Source organism: Homo sapiens, chromosome 12 (genome assembly GCF_000001405.40).
Source record: "Homo sapiens chromosome 12, GRCh38.p14 Primary Assembly".
Taxonomy (NCBI): Eukaryota; Metazoa; Chordata; class Mammalia; order Primates; family Hominidae; genus Homo; species Homo sapiens.
This window is the reverse complement of record NC_000012.12, coordinates 111,569,977-111,588,262: the sequence shown is the minus strand read 5'-3', so window position 1 is coordinate 111,588,262 and position 18,286 is coordinate 111,569,977. Positions and strand designations below refer to the sequence as shown.

The 18,286-nt window shown below is 45.1% G+C and overlaps 1 protein-coding gene and 1 pseudogene across 5 annotated transcripts in view, besides 2 other annotated features; one reads left to right on the top strand and one right to left on the bottom strand.

The window, feature by feature from the left end:
* Positions 1 to 18,286, top strand: part of ATXN2 (ataxin 2) — a 147,460-nt gene that overhangs the window by 11,411 nt on the left and 117,763 nt on the right. The window lies entirely within an intron of this gene.
* IFITM3P5 (IFITM3 pseudogene 5) lies at positions 6,318 to 6,931 on the bottom strand (annotated as a pseudogene).
* Positions 9,979 to 10,038: a silencer, noted in NCBI's record as "silent region_4869". NCBI's record gives its function as "represses an Ori minimal core promoter by ATAC-STARR-seq in GM12878 lymphoblastoid cells {active_cell/tissue: GM12878}" and the evidence as "EXISTENCE:reporter gene assay evidence [ECO:0000049][PMID:35858748]".
* Positions 17,499 to 17,696: a silencer, noted in NCBI's record as "fragment chr12:112008371-112008568 (GRCh37/hg19 assembly coordinates)". NCBI's record gives its function as "represses an EF-1alpha promoter that drives an FKBP-Casp9 reporter gene in an ReSE screen in HepG2 liver carcinoma cells {active_cell/tissue: HepG2}" and the evidence as "EXISTENCE:reporter gene assay evidence [ECO:0000049][PMID:32094911]".

Here is an 18,286-nt window from a genome sequence, read left to right as displayed (position 1 = left end):
CCTGAAGTTGTGTCAAGTGACTTTACAATGTCAATTTGTTTTATTTATTTATTTATTTATTTATTTATTTATTTTTGTGATAGGATCTGGCTCTGTTGCTAAGGCTGGAGTGCAGTGTTGCAAATACGGCTCACTGCAACCTCTGTCTCCCGGGTTCAAGCCATCCTCCCACCTCAGCCTCCCAAGTAGTTGGAACTACTGGTGCGCCCCACAGTGCCTGCCTAGTTTTTTTGTATTTTCAGTAGATGTGGAGTTTTGCCATGTTGATCTTGAACTCATGGCCTCGAGTGATCCACCCCACTTAGGCCTCCTAACATGCTGGTGTTACAGGTGTGAGCCACTGTGTCCAGCCCGAAAATGTCAGTTTCGTGCCATGATTAATAGCTAACTACATTTTGGGAATGTAATAAAATTTCATTCTATAATGAAGTCTTTGTAAAACTCATTAGTTGTGGTATGAGGCTTGTCGGCAATATAAGTGAACGTGGTTTATTTTTATTAACTGTATCAGAACTTTAGAATGTTGGTCTCCTGAAACCATTGCCTTGAGAGGCTTTATTGAACAGTGTTGCCAATGATCAGTTTTTTTTTAAATTTCCTTTTTTTTGAGACTGAGTCTTACCCTGTTGGCCAGGTTGGAGTATAGTGGTATGGTCATGGCTCACTGCAGCCTCAACATCCTGGGCTCAAGCAGTCCTCCTACCTCAGTCTCCCGAGTAGCTGGAACTACAGGTGTATGCCACCATGCCTGGCTTTTGTATATTTTGTAGAGACAGGGTTTAGCCATGTTGCCCAGGCTGGTCTCAAACTCTTAAATTCAAATGATCCACCCACCTAGTTTTCCCAAAGTGCTTTAATTACATGTGTGAGGCACCGTGGCTGGCCAGGTCAAATATTTTTCATTGACGTTTTTCATATTGCTTTTTAAAGTCATGTTAAAATATTCTTAATAATTTTTCTAAGTGGAATTAATCTTGATTATAATTTTAGTTTTTTATAAAGGGCGGGTTTTGAAACAAGTACTGCATTTTTCTTTTCGGGTTTATAAACATTTGCTGTGGACTTTGTGCAGTTAACTATTTTCATTCCTGAAACACATTTCGAAATCAGGAATTGAAGACTAAATGTCTTTTCACTGAAGCTTGAGCAGATTTTAGAAAGGGGAGTTCTTTTTTTTTTTTTTTTTTTTGGTAGAAATGGGGGTCTTGTTATGTTGCCCAGGCTGGCCTCCAACTTCTGGGCTTAAACTGTCCTCCTGCTTTAGCCTCTGGTCTGGAGAGTTCTTTATGGCCTCTTTGAGAACTTTTACTTTACACATGATTCTATCTAGCTTTCTTTTCTGATGTACATATTGGCAGCAAGTAGAAAAGCAATGTTTTCAGAGGCAGATATATTAACAGCAATGAGAAATAACAGTAGCGTGATAGAAAGTTGAAAGACTTAGCTGGGTGCGGTGGCTCACGCTTGTAATCCCAGCACTTTGGGAGGCCAAGGAGGGTGGATCACTTGAGGTCAGGAGTTCGAGACCAGTCTGGCCAACATGGTGAAACCCTGTCTCTACTGAAAAACAGAAAAAGGGCCGGGCGTGGTGGCTCACCCCTGTAATCCCAGCACTTTGGGAGGTTGAGGAGGGCGGATTACAAGGTCAAGAGATTGAGACCATTCTGGCCAACAGGGTGAAACCCCATCTCTACTAAAAATACAAAAAAATTAAATGGGCGTGGTGATGTGTGCCTGTAGTCCCAGCTACTCGGGAGGCTGAGGCAGGAGAATTGCTTGAACCCGGGAGGCAGAGGTTGCAGTGAGCCGAGATCGGGCCACTGCACTGACGACAGAGGGAGACTCCGTCTAAAAAAAAAAAAAAAAAAAAAAAACCAGACTTGGGGCTGGGCGGGCGCCTGTAATCCCAGCTACTTGGGAGGCTGAGGCAGGAGAATCGCTTGAACCCGGGAGGTGAAGGTTGCAGTGAGCTCAGATTGTGCCACTGTGCCCCAGCCTGGGCCACAGAGCAGAGTGAGACTCTGTCTCAAAAAAAAAAAAAAAGTTTGGAAGACTGGTGGCTGGGCATGGTGGCTCACACCTGTAATCCCAACACTTTGGGAGGCTGAAGCAGGCAGATTACCTGAGCCCAGGAGTTCAAGTCCAGCCTGGGCAACACAGGGAAACCCCATCTCAACAAAAAATATTAATACAAAAAATTTAGCCAGTCATGGTCGTGCACTTCTGTAGTCTCAGCTACTTGGGAGGCTGAGGCAGGTGGTTCACTTAAGTCTGGATGTCGAGGTGAGCCATGATTGCACCACTGCACTCCAGCCTGGGCGTTAAAATGAGACCTTATCTCAAAAAAACAAAGCAAAGAGCCTGGGAACTACTAAAATGGGAACTACTAAAAAACAGACACAAGAGCTCAACAAGTATACCATTCTGGGAGGTTTTTTTTTTTTTTTTTTTTTTTTTTTTTGAGATGGAGTTTTGCTCTTGTCACCCAGGCTGGAGTGCAATGGCGCCATCTCTGCTCACTGTAGTTCCGCCTCCCAGGTTCAAGCAGTTCTCCTGCCTGACTCCTGAGTAGCTGGGAGTACAGATATTGGTCACACACCGGGTTAATTTTTGTATTTTTAGTAGAGACGGGGTTTCCCCATTTTGGCCAGGCTGGTCTCGAACTCCTGACCTCAGGTGATCCGCCTGCTTCAGCCTCCCAAAGTGCCGGGACCACAGGCGTGAGCCACCGCACCTGGCTTTTTTTTTTTGACATAGAATCTTGTTCTGTTGCCCAGGCTGGAGTGCAATGGTACAATCTTGGCCCACTGCAACCTCTGCCTCCCAGCTTCTAGCGATTTTCCTGCCTCTGACTCCTGAGTAGCTGGGATTACGGGTGCCCGCCACCACACCCGGATAATTTTTGTATTTTTAGTAGAGATGGGGTTTTGCCATATTGGCCAGGCCGGTCTTGAACTCCTGACCTCAGATGATCCACCTGCCTAGGCCTCCCAAAGTGCCGGGATTACAGGCGTGAGCCACCACTCCCGGCCTGGGAGTTTTGACTGTAAGTTTATAGCTGTATATCTTAGGCCCTAAGGGCATTACTGTTTTATAGCACAGTGTAGTTAGTTAATGTGCTCATAATGGTGACTCATAACACCAGGTTAAATGATTTTTTATATCTCCCAAAGAAGTATTTTTCAATCTGCAGATCATGACCCCTTAGTAGATTGTGAAACACATTAGTGGATTATGACAAGCATTTTTAGAAAAATGAAAAAGAATAAGAAGTGTTAGGATGCATTGCATTATTGAAATAATTGTTTTTGAGATGGAGTTTCGCTCTTAGTTGCCGAGGCTGGAGTGCAATGGCCCGATCTGCCTCCCGGGTTCAAGTGATTCTCCTACCTCAGCCTCCTGAGTAGCTGGGATTACAGACATGCTCCACCATGCCTGGCTAATTTTGTATTTAGTTTTAGTAGAGATGGGGTTTCTCCATGTTGGTCAGGCTGGTCTTGAACTCCTGACCTCAGGTGATCCACTTGCCTCGGCCTCCCAAAGTGCTGGGGATACAGGCATGAACCCCTGTGCCCGGCCTAATTTTTGTATTTTTAGTAGAGATGGGGTTTCACCATGTTGGCCAGGATAGTCTTGATCTCTTGACCTCGTAATCTGCCCACCTCGACTCCCAAAGTGCTGGGATTACAGGTGTGAGCCACTGCACCCAGCTGCCAAGAATTGTTTTAAGCTTTGGTTTGAGTTAATGTATATATACCGCATTGTAATTCAAAATGTAATTTTTGGCCAACTCTGGGCACATTGCCTATGGACTAGTCCTGCTCTGCCACGAGCAGCAACAGTTCAATGAATTTTTTTTTTTTTTTTTTTTTTTTTTTTTTTTTTGAGACAGGGTCTCTGTCACCAAGGCTAGAATGTAGTGGTGCAGTCTCGGCTCACTGCAACCTCTGTTTCCTGGGCTCAAGCGATCCTCCCACCTCAGCCTCCTGAGTAGCTGGGAGTACAGGAGCACGCTACCATGCCTGGCTAATTTTTGTATTTTTTGAAGAGATGAGGTTTTGCCATGTTGTTCAGGCTAGTCTTGAACTCTGGAGCTCAGATGATCCACCCACCTTGGTGTCCAGAAATGCTGGGATTACAGGGATGAGCCACCGTGCCTAGCCAAAAATTTTTTTTTAAGTAATTTTTTATTGATATAGTCAAAAAAGTTACTGCTTTAGAGCCAGAGAAACGCAGTAAAAGGATTGAGAAAGAGTTTTGAGGTTATATCTAAGCTAGGGTTGTCAGATTTGGCAAATAGAAATACAGGACACTCAGTTAAATTTGAATTTTTGATGAACATTGACCAGTTTTTTAGTATAATTGTGTATTAAATTGCATAGAAAAAAGTTATTTATCTAAAGTTGAAATTTAACTGAGCATCTTGTATTTTATCTGGCAACTCCAGTCTAAGCTGGAATCATGGTTCACTGTTTTTTTTTTTTTTTTTTTTTTTTGAGTCGGAGTCTTGCTGTGTTGCCCAGGCTGGAGTGCAATGGTGCGATCTTGGCTCACTGCAACCTCCACCTCCTGTGTTCAAGTGATTCTCCTGCCTCAGCCTCCTGAATAGTTGGGATTACAGGCACCCACCACCATGCCCAGCTAATTTTTATATTTTTAGTAGAGACGGGGTTTTCGCCATGTTGTTCAGGCTGGTCTTGAACTCCTGACCTCAGGTGGTCCGCCCACCTGGGCCTCCCAACGTGCTGGGATTACAGGCATGATCTACCGTGCCTGGCCATGGTTCACTCTTCAGTAACTAAAATTTAAGCTCTATGAAAGCAGGAACTTTGTTTTGTTCACTATTGATTGTATCCCTATTTCTTGAATGGTTGGCACTTAACTGCTTGGTCACATGTTTGAATGGGCAAGTTACTCAGCCACTCTCAGGCTTAGTTTATTTACCTATTAAAAGAGAAAGAATATCTTCCTTGGCTGGGCGCGGTGGCTCACGCCTATAATCCCAGCACTTTGGGAGGCTGAGGCGGGTGGATCACGAGGTCAGGAGATCGAGACCAACCTGGGCAACATTGTGAAACCTCATCTCTACTAAAATAGAAAAAATTAGCTGGGCATGGTGGTGCGCATCTGTAGTCCCAGCTACTCGAGAGGCTGAGGCAGGGGAATCGCTTGAACCCAGGAGGTGGAGGTTGCAGTGAGCCAAGATTGTGCCACTGCACTCCAGCCTGGGCGACAGAACGAGACTCTGTCTCCAAAAAAAAAAAAAAAACAAACAAAAAAAAAAACTGAGATACTGGCCGGGCGCGGTGGCTCGTGCCTGTAATCCCAGCACTTTGGAAGGCCGAGGCGGGTGGATCACGAGGTCAGGAGATCGAGACCGTCCTGCCTAACATGGGGAAACCCTGTCTCTACTAAAAATACAAAAAATTAGCCAGGCGTGGTGGCGGGCGCCTGTAATCCCAGCTACTTGGGAGGCTGAGGCAGGAGAATGGCGTGAACCCGGGAGGCAGAGCTTGCAGTGAGCGGAGATGGTGCCACTGCACTCCAGCCTGCTGGGCGACAGAGCGAGACTCCGTCTCAAACAAACAAACAAACAAACAAAAAAACTGAGATACTAAAGTCTTAATATTTTCTGTTTTTATGTATTTATTTTTTGAGATGGGATCTTGCTGTATTGCCCAGGTTGGAGTACAGTATTGTGATCATGGCTTATTGCAGCCTTTAACTCCTGGGTTCAAGTGATCCTCCCACCTCAGCCTCCTGAGTAGCTGGGACCACAGGCACATGCAACATCACACCCTGCAGTTCTTTTTTTTTTTTTGAGACACCGTCTCGCTTTGTCACCCAGGCTGCAGTGCGTGGTGCAATTTCTGCTCACTCTAACCTCCACCTCCCGAGTTCAAGCAGTTCTGCCTCAGCCTCCTGAGTAGCTTGGGACCACATGTGTGTGCCATCATGCCTGGTTAATTTTTTGTATTTTTAGTAGTGACAGGGTCTTACCATGTTGCCCAGGTTGGTCTCAAACTCCTGAGCTCAAGTGATCTGCCCGCCTTCGCCTCCCAAAGTGTCTGCGCCCTACAATTTAAAAAAATTTTTGTAGAGACAGTCTCACTGTTACCCGGGCTGGTTTTGAACTTCTGCCCTCAAGTACTCCTCTTGCCTTGGCCTCCCAAAGTATTGAAATTAAGGCCATGAGGCAGCACACCCAGCCTAAATTCTTCTTATGTTCTGTTCTTGGCACATAGTAGATGTTCAACAATGTAGAGTCAAACGCATTTGGAGTTGGAATGGCTCTGGTGTTTTTTTTTTTTTTTTAAACCAGAAACACGTGCAGTTTATTGAATGCCATTGTAGAAAAGTGTGTGAGGATAAACGGCTGATAGAGAACTTGGCTCTGGGGGCAGGGCGAGGAATGGAGGGTGGATGGAGTACATGGGAATCAGATCACGGGCAGAGCTCCTGGCCTAGATAATGCCTCCTGATCTGTTGATAGACTTGAAAGATCAACACTGGGATGATGCTGAGCAGAATGGTCGTAATGATGCGCACAATCAGGGCCCAGATGTTCAGGCACTTGGCGGTAAAGGCATAGGCCTGGGCCCTGATCAGGTCGCCAACCATCTTCTTGTCCCTAGACTTCACGGAGTAGGCCAATGCTATGAAGCCCAGGCAGCAGGAGTTCATGAAGTGGGTGTTGAACAGGGACCAGACGACATGGTCGGGCACGGAGTTCTCGCTGTGGATGGGGATCACGGTGGACATTGGGGGAGCAGGGTTGTGGGGTGCCCCCAGCACAGCCACCTCTTGCTCCTCCTTGAGCATCTCATAGTTAGGGGGATGGCCGATGTTGGCAGGAGTGAAGAGGTTTGGACATTGTGGTTCATGGTGTCCAGGGAAGACCAGCTGTGGTCGGGTTGCTGGGGTGGTTCTCAGTGGGCCCCTCCCTTTCCCTGGTAGTTTGGATTTCTCTGGCTCTGGTGGTTTTTTAGTACTCATTCTATTTACGGGTGAAGAAATTGAGACCAAGAGGGTTATTTACCAGAGTATCTCATCATTGGCTGCATAACTGGCATTAGAATCTGATGTACTTTTATTTCTAATACATTTCTTTTTTTTTTTTTTTTTTTGAGATGGAGTCTCGCTCTGTTGCCGAGCCTAGAGTGCAGTGGGGCAATCTTGGCTCCTTGCAACCTCCACCTCCTGGGTTCAAGCTATTCCTGTCTCAGCCTCCCAAGTAGCTGGGACTACAGGCACCTGCCACCACAGCCGGCTAGGTTTTGTATTTTAGTAGAGATGGGGTAGCACCATGTTGGCCAGGCTGGTCTCGAACTCATGACCTCAGGTGATCCACCTGCCTCGGCCTCCCAGTGCTGGGATTATAGGCATGAGCCACCATGCCTGGCCTTTCTTTGTCGTTTCCTTTCTTTCTCTTCATCCCTCCTCTCCTTTTTTCCCCTCCCCGCTGCCTCCTCCTGTCTTCCCTTCTTTCCTTCCTTTCTCTCCTTTTTATTTTTTCCTTTCTTTTTCTTTCTCTGTCTCTCCCAACCCTTCCTCTCTCCCTCCCTCCCTCCCCTTCTCTCTCCCCCCCTCCCTCCCCTTCTCTCTCCCCCTCCCCTTTTGTTCCTAAGAGACAGGGTCTCCTTATGTTGCTGAGGCTGACCTTGAACTCCTGAGCCCAGATGATTCTGCCTCCTTAGTAGCTGGGACTACACCCACCTCCCGTTCCGTTGTCATCTTTTTTTTTTTTTTCTTTTTTGGAGACAGAATCTTCCTCTGTTGCTCAGGGTGGAGTGTAGTGGCACGATCATAGCTTACTGTAACTGTGTAACCTCGAATTCTTGGGCTCAAGCAATCATCCCATCATCCCACCTCAGCTTGCTGAGTACCTGGGGCTACAGGTGTGTACCACCATGTCCGGCTAATTACTTTTCTTATTTTTAATTTTTCGGAGATAGGATCTTGCTCTGTTGCCCAGGCTGGTGTCAAACTCCTGGGCTCAAGTGAAACTCTTGCCTTGGCCTCCCAAAGTGTTGGGAGGGATTACAGGCATGAGCCACTGCACCCAGCCTCCTCTTTCTTCCCATTTAACTCCTAACCACACCGAACTTTCTGTCTGCAGAGAGGAGCATTGGTCAGCAGTTCACAAAATGGCTAGGTGTGATGGCGTGCACCCATAGTCCCAGCTACTTGGGGAGCTGAGGTGGGAGGATCGCTGGAGCCCAGGAGTTCAAGGCCCTGGGCAACACAGCAAGACCTTATCTCTGGCTGGGCCCAGTGGCTCACGCCTGTAATCCCAGCACTTTGGGAGGCTGAGGTGGGTGGATCACCTGAGGTCAGGAGTTCGAGACCAGCCTGGCCAACATGGTGAGACCCTGTGTCTACTAAAAGTACAAAAATTAGCCAGGCACGGTGGCGCGCTCCTGTAATCCCAGCTACTCGGGGGGGCTGAGACAGGAGAATCACTTGAACCCAGGAGGAGGAGGTTGCAGTGAACCAAGAACACGCCACTGCACTCCAGCCTGGGTGACATAGTGAGACTCTTATCTCAAAAAAAAAAAAAAAAGGTCGTCTGTACTATTGCATGTTAGTAGTTTCTTTCTGCTTATTGTTGAGTAGTAGTCTATTGTATGCATGTACCAGTTTGTTCATCTAGTGGTGGACATTGAGTTAGCAGGTTTTGGCTATTAAAAATAAAGCTGGAGGCCGGGTGCGATGTCTCACGCCTGTAATCCCAGCATTTTGGAAGGCCGAGGCAGGCGGATCACCTAAGGTTGGGAGTTTGAGACCAGCCTGACCAACATGGAGAAACCCCATCTCTACTAAAAATACAAAATTAGCCAGGCGTGGTGGCGCATGCCTGTAATCCTAGCTACTCAGGAGGCTGAGGCAGGAGAATCGCTTGAACCCGGGAGGCAGAGGTTGTGGTGAGCCAAGATTGCACCATTGCACTCCAGCCTGGGCATCAAGAGTGAAACTCCGTCTCAAAAAAATAAATAAATAAAGCTGGTATGAATATTTATGTACAGGTTTTGTGTGAACATATGATTTTATTTCTCTTGGTTGGAATGCATAGAAATGAGATTGCTGGGTTTTGTGGCAAGTGTTTATTTTTCCAGGGTACATATAATCCTGTGAGTGTTTATTTAATTTTAAAAGTAATTGCTAAACTGTTTGCTAAAGTGACTGCTATATTTTCTTTCCCTAGCAGTGTATGAATTTTTTTTTGAGGCAGGGTCTTGCTCTGTCACCCAGGGTGGAGTGCAGTGGTGCGATATTGTCTGACTGCAACATTGACCTCCTGGGCTCAAGTGATCCTCCTGCCTCAGCCTCCTGGCTGGGACCACAGGCATGTACCACCACACCTGGTAGTTTGCTTTGATTTTTAGTAGAGAAGAGGTCTCACTATGTTGCCCTGGGTGGTGTTGAACTCCTGGGCTCAAGTGATTCATCTACCTCAGCCTCCCAAAGTGCTGGGATTATAGATATGAGCCCCTGTGCCTGGCCTCATTGTGGTTTTAATTTGCATTTCCCTAATGCCCAGTGATATTGAGCATTTTTTCATGTGTTTATTTGACATTCATACCATCTTTGGTGATGAGAAACTATGTTTATGCATTGCTTAATGATGGGGATGTGTTTTGAGAAATTTTTTCGGTGATCTTATCATTGTACAAATATAGAGTTTACTTACACAAGCCTAGATGGTATACCTACTAGACACATAGGCTGTCGTACAGAGTATTACTCTTAGGCTACAAATCTGTATAGCATGTTGCGGTACTGAACACTGTTGGCAGATGTAACATAATGTTAAGTATTTGTGAATCTAAACATATCTAAACATAGAAAAGGTGAGTAAAAATACAGCGTAAAAGATAAAAGTGGTATATCTGAATAGGTCACTTACCATGAATGGAGCTTGCAGGACAGGAAGTTGCTTGGGATGAGTCATTTATCAGTGGTGTGTGAATGTGCAGGCCTAGGACATTACTGTATGCTACTGTAGACAAACACTGAACAGTTAGGATACACTAAATTGATAAATATCTTTCTTATTTTGTTTTTTGAGATGGAGTCTCGCTCTATCGCCCAGGCTGGAGTGTAGTGGCGTGATGTTGGCTCACTGCAGTCTCTGCCTTCTGGGTTCAAGCGATTCTCCTGCCTCAACCTCCTGAATAGCTGGGATTACAGGTGCGTGCCACCACACCTGGCTAATTTTTGTATTTTTAGTAGAGACGGGGGTTTCACCATGTTGGCCAGGCTGGTCTCGAACTCCTGACCTCAGGTGATCCACCCGCCGTGGCCTCCCAAAGTGCTGGGATTACAGATGTGAGCCACCGCACCTGGCCAGAGATGAGGTCTTGCTGTATTGCCCAGGGCGTTGAACTCCTGGGCTCCAGCAATCCTCCCACCTCAGCTTCCCACGTAGCTGGGACTGTGGGTGCACGCCATCATGCCTAGCCGTTTTGTGAACTGTTGACCAATGCTCTTTTCTGCAGACAGAAAGTTCACTGTGGTTAGGAGTTAAGACTTTTAACCTCTGACCTCAAGTGATCTGCCCACCTTGACCTCCCAAAGTGCTGGGATTACAGGTGTGAGCCATCACGCCTGGTCAAAAATATCTTTCTTTAAGAGTAAATTTACCTTAACTTACTGGTTGATCATTGTATATAGGTCTGTTGTTAATTGAAACATGCGGGCCGGGCCCGGTGGCTCATGCCTGTAATCCCAGCACTTTGGGAGGCCGAGGCGGGTGGATCACAAGGTCAGGAGATCGAGACCATCCTGGCTAACACGGTGAAACCCCGTCTCTACTAAAAATACTAAAAATTAACCGGGTGTGGTGGCGGGCGCCTGTAATCCCAGCTACTCGGGAGGCTGAGGCAGGAGAATGGCGTGAACCCGGGAGGCGGAGCTTGCAGTGAGCCGAGATCGTGCCACTGCACTCCAGCCTGGGCAACAGAGCGAGACTCTGTCTCAAAATAAATAAATAAATAAATAAATAATTGAAACATGCGGTGCATGTGTTTATTTGCGATCTGACTTGTTTGGAAATATTTGCATTATCTTCCTTCTAGATTTAGAGCATCTTGACAGTAGGAACAAGTGTTTTGTACAACTTTGTATGCTTAGTAAGTTATCAATTAACTTGTCGTGGCCAGGCGCAGTGGCTCACGACTGTAATCCCAGCACTTTGGGAGGCCGAGGCGGGCAGATCACCTGAGGTCAGGAGTTCGAGACCAGCGTGGCCAACGTGGTGAAACCCTGGGTTTGTTTGTTTGTTTATTTATTTATTTATTTTTTGGAGACGGAGTCTCGCTCTGTCGCCCAGGCTGGAGTGCAGTGGCGTGATCTCGGCTCACTGCAACCTCCGACTCCCAGGTTCATGCCATTCTCCTGCCTCAGCCTCCCAAGTAGCTGGGACTACAGGAGCCCGCCACCATGCCTGGCTAATTTTTTTATTTTTAGTAGAGATGGGGTTTCGCCGTGTTATCTGGGATGGTCTCGAACTCCTGACTTTGTGATCCGCCCGCCTCGGCCTCCCAAAGTTCTGGGATTACAGGCGTGAGCCACCACACCTGGCCTACCCTGTGTTTATTACAAATACACAAATTGGCCATTTGTGCGTGGCTCATCTACAGTCTCAGTGACTCAGAAGGCTGAGGCAGGAGAATCTCTTGAACCCGGGAGGCAGAGGTTGCAGTGAGCAGAGATCGTGCCACTGTACTTCAGCCTGGGTGACAGAGTGAGACTGTGTCTCAAAATAATAATAATAATTTGTTGAATATGTGACTGTTGGTTTAATTTTTATTTTTATGAGATGGAGTCTCACTCTGTTGCCCAGGTTGGAGTACAGTGGCGTGCAGTGGCGCAATCTTAGCTCACTGCAACCTCCGCCTCCTGTGTTCAGGTGATTCAGCCTCCCAAGTACCTGAGACTACAGACGTGCACTACCGTGCCTGACTAATTTTTGTATTTTTAGTAGAAATGGGGTTTCACCATGTTGGTCAGCCTGGTCTCAAACTCCTATTCTCAAGTGATCCGCCTACCTCGACCTTCCAAAGTGGCGGAATTATAGGTGTGAGCCGTGGTGCCCGGCCAGACTATTGGTTTGGTTTGGTGTGATGTTATGTTATGTTATGTTATGTTATGTTATGTTATGTTATGTTATGTTATTTTAAGACAGAGTTTGTCTCTTGTCGCCCAGGCTGGAGTGCAGCGGCATGATCTCGGCTTACTGCAACCTCCGCCTCCCAGGTTCAAGTGATTCTCCTGTCTTAGCCTCCCAAGTAGCTGGGATTACAGGCGCCCACCACCGTGCCTGGCTAATTTTTGTATTTTTAGTAGAGACAGGGTTTCACCATCTTGGCCAGGCTGTTCTGGAACTCCTGACCTCATGATCCACCCGCCTTGGCCTCCCAAAGTGCTGGGATTACAGGCGTGAGCCACTGCGCCTGGCTGACTATTGGTTTTATTATTAAGCAGTAGTAGTTGACCCTGTCATGTAGAAAGCATGGCATTTATAGGCATACCACGTTTAATTTCCTCCCCTTTTTTTATTTTTGGAGTACCTCCTGCTTGTGAGGCTTGGGAATACAGTAGTGAATAAGCCAGATGAGGTCTCTCTCTTTTTGGAGCTTATGTGGTAGTATAGACTAGGCAGAAAGTTCTCATTGCCCCTGCCACCTTATGGCATTGAGGTGTTTGAGATGCTGATGTTTACTTCTGTCTCATAAAATCTTGAAAGGAGTTCTTTTAGATGAAGAGGAAAACAAAATCAGAAGAATGGGCCTGGGTCATGTCTGTAAACCTCCCCACGTCATGGGGAGGCTGAAATGGGAAGGGCCAGGAGTTCAAGACCAGGCTGAGAAACATAACAAGACCCCATCTCTACAAAAAATATTTTTTAATTAATGGGGGATGGCAGCACACACCTGTAGTCGCAGCTACTACGAGGCTGAAGCGAGAGGATTGCTTGAGCTCAGGAGTTAAAGATTGCAGGAGCTATGATCACAGCACTGCGCTCCAGCCCCTCTTATCAGCAGTCTGGTATGTTGCTAAGGGTCTTGTTCTTTTTAGTGCTTCAGGGACAGCCACTGGCTATGCCCAGAAATAAGTATGTTTGAGAAGCTTTCTGACCTCAGCTTGAAAAATTGATTAGGGTCATAATTAAAAAGGGAGGGAAACAGGATTGAGTGAACCGGACGCTACCGTGAGTTTATTCTCCCAGGGCATACATAATCTCATGTGATTACCACATAGCCCTGTTAGATAATCTGTTATCCTGTCCTCATTTTACCCATGAGGAAATGAAGGCCCAGAGAGGTTAAATGACCTATTCAAATTCACTCAGAAGGTGGCAGAGATGAGTTACTATCATTGTATTTTGGATCTCTGGAAAGAAAGAAAACTAGTGATGGTATTAAAAAATGTTATTAATAGTTTCTTTTAATCAACCAGGAACTTGAGTCACTAGCTTCTCTGGGTGAAGGACTATACTTCAACAGTATGAAAAACGGAAAAGAAAATGAGGAATTTTGGCTGGGCACAGTGGCTCACACCTGTAATTCTAGCACTTTGGGAAGCCAAGGGAGGAGGGTCGCTTGAGCTCAGGAATTCAAGATCAGCCTAGGCAACATAGTGAGGCCCCATCTCTACAAAAATAAATTAGCTGGGCATGGTGGTGCATGCGTATAGTCTCAGCTACTTGGGAGGCTGACTCAGGAGGGTCACTTAAACCCAGGAATTGGAGGTTGCAGTGAGCTATGATTGCGCCACTGTATACCATCCCAGGCGACAGAGTGAGACCCTATCCCCCCACCGCCAAAAAAAAGAAAAGAAAATGAGGAATTTACATTTGTGACAGATACGGAATTCAGGGAATTTAGTTGTTCATAGTCTATAAATGCTATAAGAAGTCTCCATACCTTTTTTTTTTTTTTTTTTTTTTTTTGGAGACAGAGTCTTGCTCTGTCGCCCAGGCTGGAGTGCAGTGGTGCGATCTTGGCTCACTACAAGCTCTGCCTCTCGGGTTCACGCCATTCTCCTGCCTCCACCTCCCGAGTAGCTGGGACTACAGGTGCCCGCCACCACGCCCGGCTAATTTTTTTGTATTTTTGGTAGAGATGAGGTTTCACTGTGTTAGCCACAGATCCCGACCTCATGATCTGTCTGCCTCAGCCTCCCAAAGTGCTGGGATTGCAGGCTTGAATCACCGCACCCGGCCGGAAGTCTCCATACTTTTTAACCCAATCTAAAATGGTAAGGAAATATATAAGAATGTCTATTTATTATTAAATTTTTTCTATATAAAACATTTCAGAAAATAAAGACTAGCATTTCTGAGCCAAGTGGTAGTAGTGGCCATTTTTTCTGGAAAAAAAAAAAAAAAGAAAGAAAAAACACATTTAGCTATCTATGATGTGAAAAGATGAACATTTTATTTAGGTAATAAATGTTATGTCATAAAATACCATTTATTGTGTGCCTATTAGGTTTCAGGAGAGCTGTGCCAAGAGCATTACTTGTATATCTTTTAAGCCTTACAACAGCCCAGCCTGTCAGGCTGGTAGTGCCATATCTGTTTTACAGATGAGGAAGTGATGGATTGGAGAAATTAAGGAAATTGCCTTTAGGTCAAAGAGATAGGAAGTGACAAAGCTGAGATTTTTAACCTTGTGAGATTTCAAAGTCTTTGCTTTTTAATAACTGTTCCATTGCTTCTAATATAGAGATATGACAAAAACAAGTAAAAATCAGTGAAGAAGGCTGGGAGCAGTCGCTTATGCCTGTAATCCCAGCAGTTTGGGAGGCCGAGGCGTGTGGATCGCCTGAGGTCAGGAATTTGAGACCAGCCTGGCCAACATGACAAAACTCCGTCTCTACTAAAAATACAAAAAAGTTAGCCAGGCGTGGTGACAAGCACCTGTAATCCCAGCTACTCAGTAGGCTGAGGCAAGGAGAATCGCTTGAACCTGGGAGGTGGAGGTTGCAGTGAGCTGAGATCGCTCCATTGCACTCCAGCGTAGGCAACAAAGCAAGACTCCGTCTCAAAAAATAAATAAATAAATAAATAAAAATAATAACAATAATGAAGAAAACAATCCGGTGATTATTGTCAGCAATAAAATTTCTTCAATCAACCATGCTTTAGTCCTGGCAGTTCTCTATCAGTGAGTTTCAATCAAAAAGTTTGTTTATAATTTTTTTTTTTTTAAAATTTTGAAATTTGGAAACAACATCATAAATGATGGTTAGTTTTCTGCAGCTCCCTATTTTGGCAGATAGTCTGTTGTTACTCATAATTAATTTGAACTAAAAAGTAGTGTTGTACGATATCATGGGCTGTGAATGTGTTTGTGACTTGATCTGAGAACCCACACACCACTTAGGATGCTTCTGTAGGAAAATTAGAGTATGGAACTCACTTGCCCACGCTTTCCCTGTCTCAGTCCATGTTGGTAGGCTGCAAAGTCTGGGGCTAGAAGGACACTGAACAAGACTTCAGCAGTACATGTTAGTCTTCCAGAGGGAAGGAATATAATAGTTGAGAGAATAATTCCTTTCCTCTGTGACTTTAGGCAAATTCTTGGCTATGCTGTTATTTATTTGGGCCAAACAATATCAGGAGGTTGTACATTTTATTCTTAATTACTGCGATACATTAATTTTATCCATGGGTTTAACCTAGCCTACCTTTTGCTGTTAGACTTCAACTCTACTTGTGTTGGGTTACCCCTCTGCTTAAAAATCACCCTATTCCCAAGCCTGAGGGAGTCTACCTTCAAAGCTTTCTATGACCTAATCCAAGGCCTGTCAAACTTCGTAAAGGGCCAGATAGTAAATTTGTTTTTTTTTTTTGAGATGGAGTTTTGCTCTTGTCACCCAGGCTGGAGTGCAATGGTGCCATCTTGGCTCACTGCAACCTCTGCCTCCCAGGTTCAAGTGATTCTCCTGCCTCAGCCTCTCAAGTAGCTGGGGTTATAGGCATGTGCCACCACGCTCGGCTAATTTCTTTGTATTTAGTAGAGATGGGGGTTTCACCATTTTGGTCAGGCTGGTCTCGAACTCCTGACCTCAGGTGATCCACCTGCTGCGGCCTCCCAAAGTGCTGGGATTACCAGTGTGAACCACCGTGCCCAGCCCGATAGTAAATATTTTAGGCTTTGCAGTCCATATACAGTCCCATTTTTTTGTGTATGTTTGCACGTTTTCTTTACATATTTTAAAAGCCCCTTTTTTTTTTTTTTTGAGACAGAGTCTTGCTGTGTTGCTCAGGCTGGAGTGCAGTGGTGCAATCTTGGCTCACTGCAACCTCTGCCTCCTGGGTTCAGGCGATTCTCCTGTCTCAGCTTCCCGAGTAACTGGGATTACAGGCACATGCTGCCACGCCCAGCTAATTTTTGTATTTTTAGTAAAGATGGGGTTTCGCCACATTGGCCAGGCTGGTCTCCTGATCTCAGGTGATCTGCCCACCTCTGCCTCCCAAAGTGCTGGGATTACAGGTGTGAGCCACCGTGCCTGACCTAAAAGCTCTTTACAGTGTAAAAAATATTCTGAGCTTTAAGCCATGTGAAAATAGGCCATGGGCATTTGCTGACCCCTAATAGAACTCCATTTTACCTTTCTGATCATGTTTCCCATTAACTCTTCAAAAATATGACCTCCATTTAAATCAAGATGGTCTCCTTCCTCACTGCTTGTGGAGGTCCAGTGCCCAGTGTCTGCCTCTTGCTTGCTCCTCCATCATTGTTCTGCCATTCGAGATCCTCATACTTACCCTTTAAGATCTAGCCCAAATTTTCCATGAAACTAATTCTAATAATTAAAAACTTCCTGTAGAACTTAACTTTGTCTAGTACAAGTTAGCTTTCTTATTCAGTAGTAGCTTACTATAAATTACAAGAATAAAAAGATTACCATTTTCCCTCACACTGTTTTGTGGAGAATGCCTAAAGTTACTTTTTCTTTTTACAGGTCAGTATTCCTATTTGGCATCCTAATCCCCTTTCCCAAATCTGAATTTTGGGATTTGAAGCTTGCATTTGAGATTATGATTTGTCTTCCTTGTTGTACACAGGAGCAGGGACTTTACAATTAGTATTCGCATCCCTGCTCCTTCATACTTCGTGATGTAAGGCAAGTTATTTTCACTTATGCTTAAGTTTCTTCCCCTGTAAAAAGGGGATGGAAGAGGATTAAATGAATTAAACATGTAACACGCTTAAAGCAATGCCTGGCAAGTAATAAGTGCTCAGTAACTTTTAGCTGTTCTTATTAGCATGTTTGGAAACCAGTAGAAACTACACCAGCAAGTTAAGGTTGAAAAGTGGTATTGATGGGCTTGGGGTAGTACAGTATGAATGGCTACAGTTTAGCGTTTCATTAAGTTTGTATATTCATTAATTCATTACACATTTGATGCTGTCAGACTAGGACAGAGACAAAGATGAATGAAACATTATCTCTGCTTCCAGGTTACCCAGTGTAGTAGAGAAGGCAGGCATGCAGATAGTTTAAATTGGTAGCACTGGGAGGGGACTGCCATGGGTGGGCAGTGAAGAAAAAGGGCTTCAAAATAATGAGAGTTGAGATGGATCTTCAAGGAAGATAAGCAGTTTTCAGTAAGGCCATGAAGAGAGGAGGAAGTTCCAGGCGGGAAGAGTTTGTGCTAAAGTACAGGGATTGCTATACACATGGTGTATGTAGAAAAAATTTGGTTCACAGTGTGATAGAAGAATTGGAGGGGGTCCTCACTGAAAGTAAGGAAACACATTTGGAAGAATATGTTTCAGTTAGAAAATGAAATGAGCTTAAAGTAAACGCTAATAAGGTTTTTAAAATGTAAAATTTCAACGTATTTAGAAAGAGAACAGCTGGATGAATCTTATGTACCTGTCACTCAGCTTTAGCAGTTATCAGTAAATGGCCAACGTTGTTTCAGCTATACTCCCCTCTCCTCCACTGATAGTCTTTTGAAGGGGAATACAATTGTTTTGTGGCCTCCAGAAAGGGATAAGTTTATGAGCAACGGGTAGATCGTTGGGAGAGACTTGAGTTTCCTGTCAGGAAGCATTCTTGGTGCATAAGTCAGAGGTGATATGAATGCCGTGGAAGGGGGTGGCTTACTGTCTGGAGAACTCGAGAAGATGGGAATGGGCACTGTCCAGTATTGTGGCTACTTCCACACATGGTTCTTTAAATTTAAAATTATGTTGATTAAAATTTAAATATTTCAGTTCCTCAGCCATACTAATCGTATTTCAAGTGCTTAGCTGCCACATGT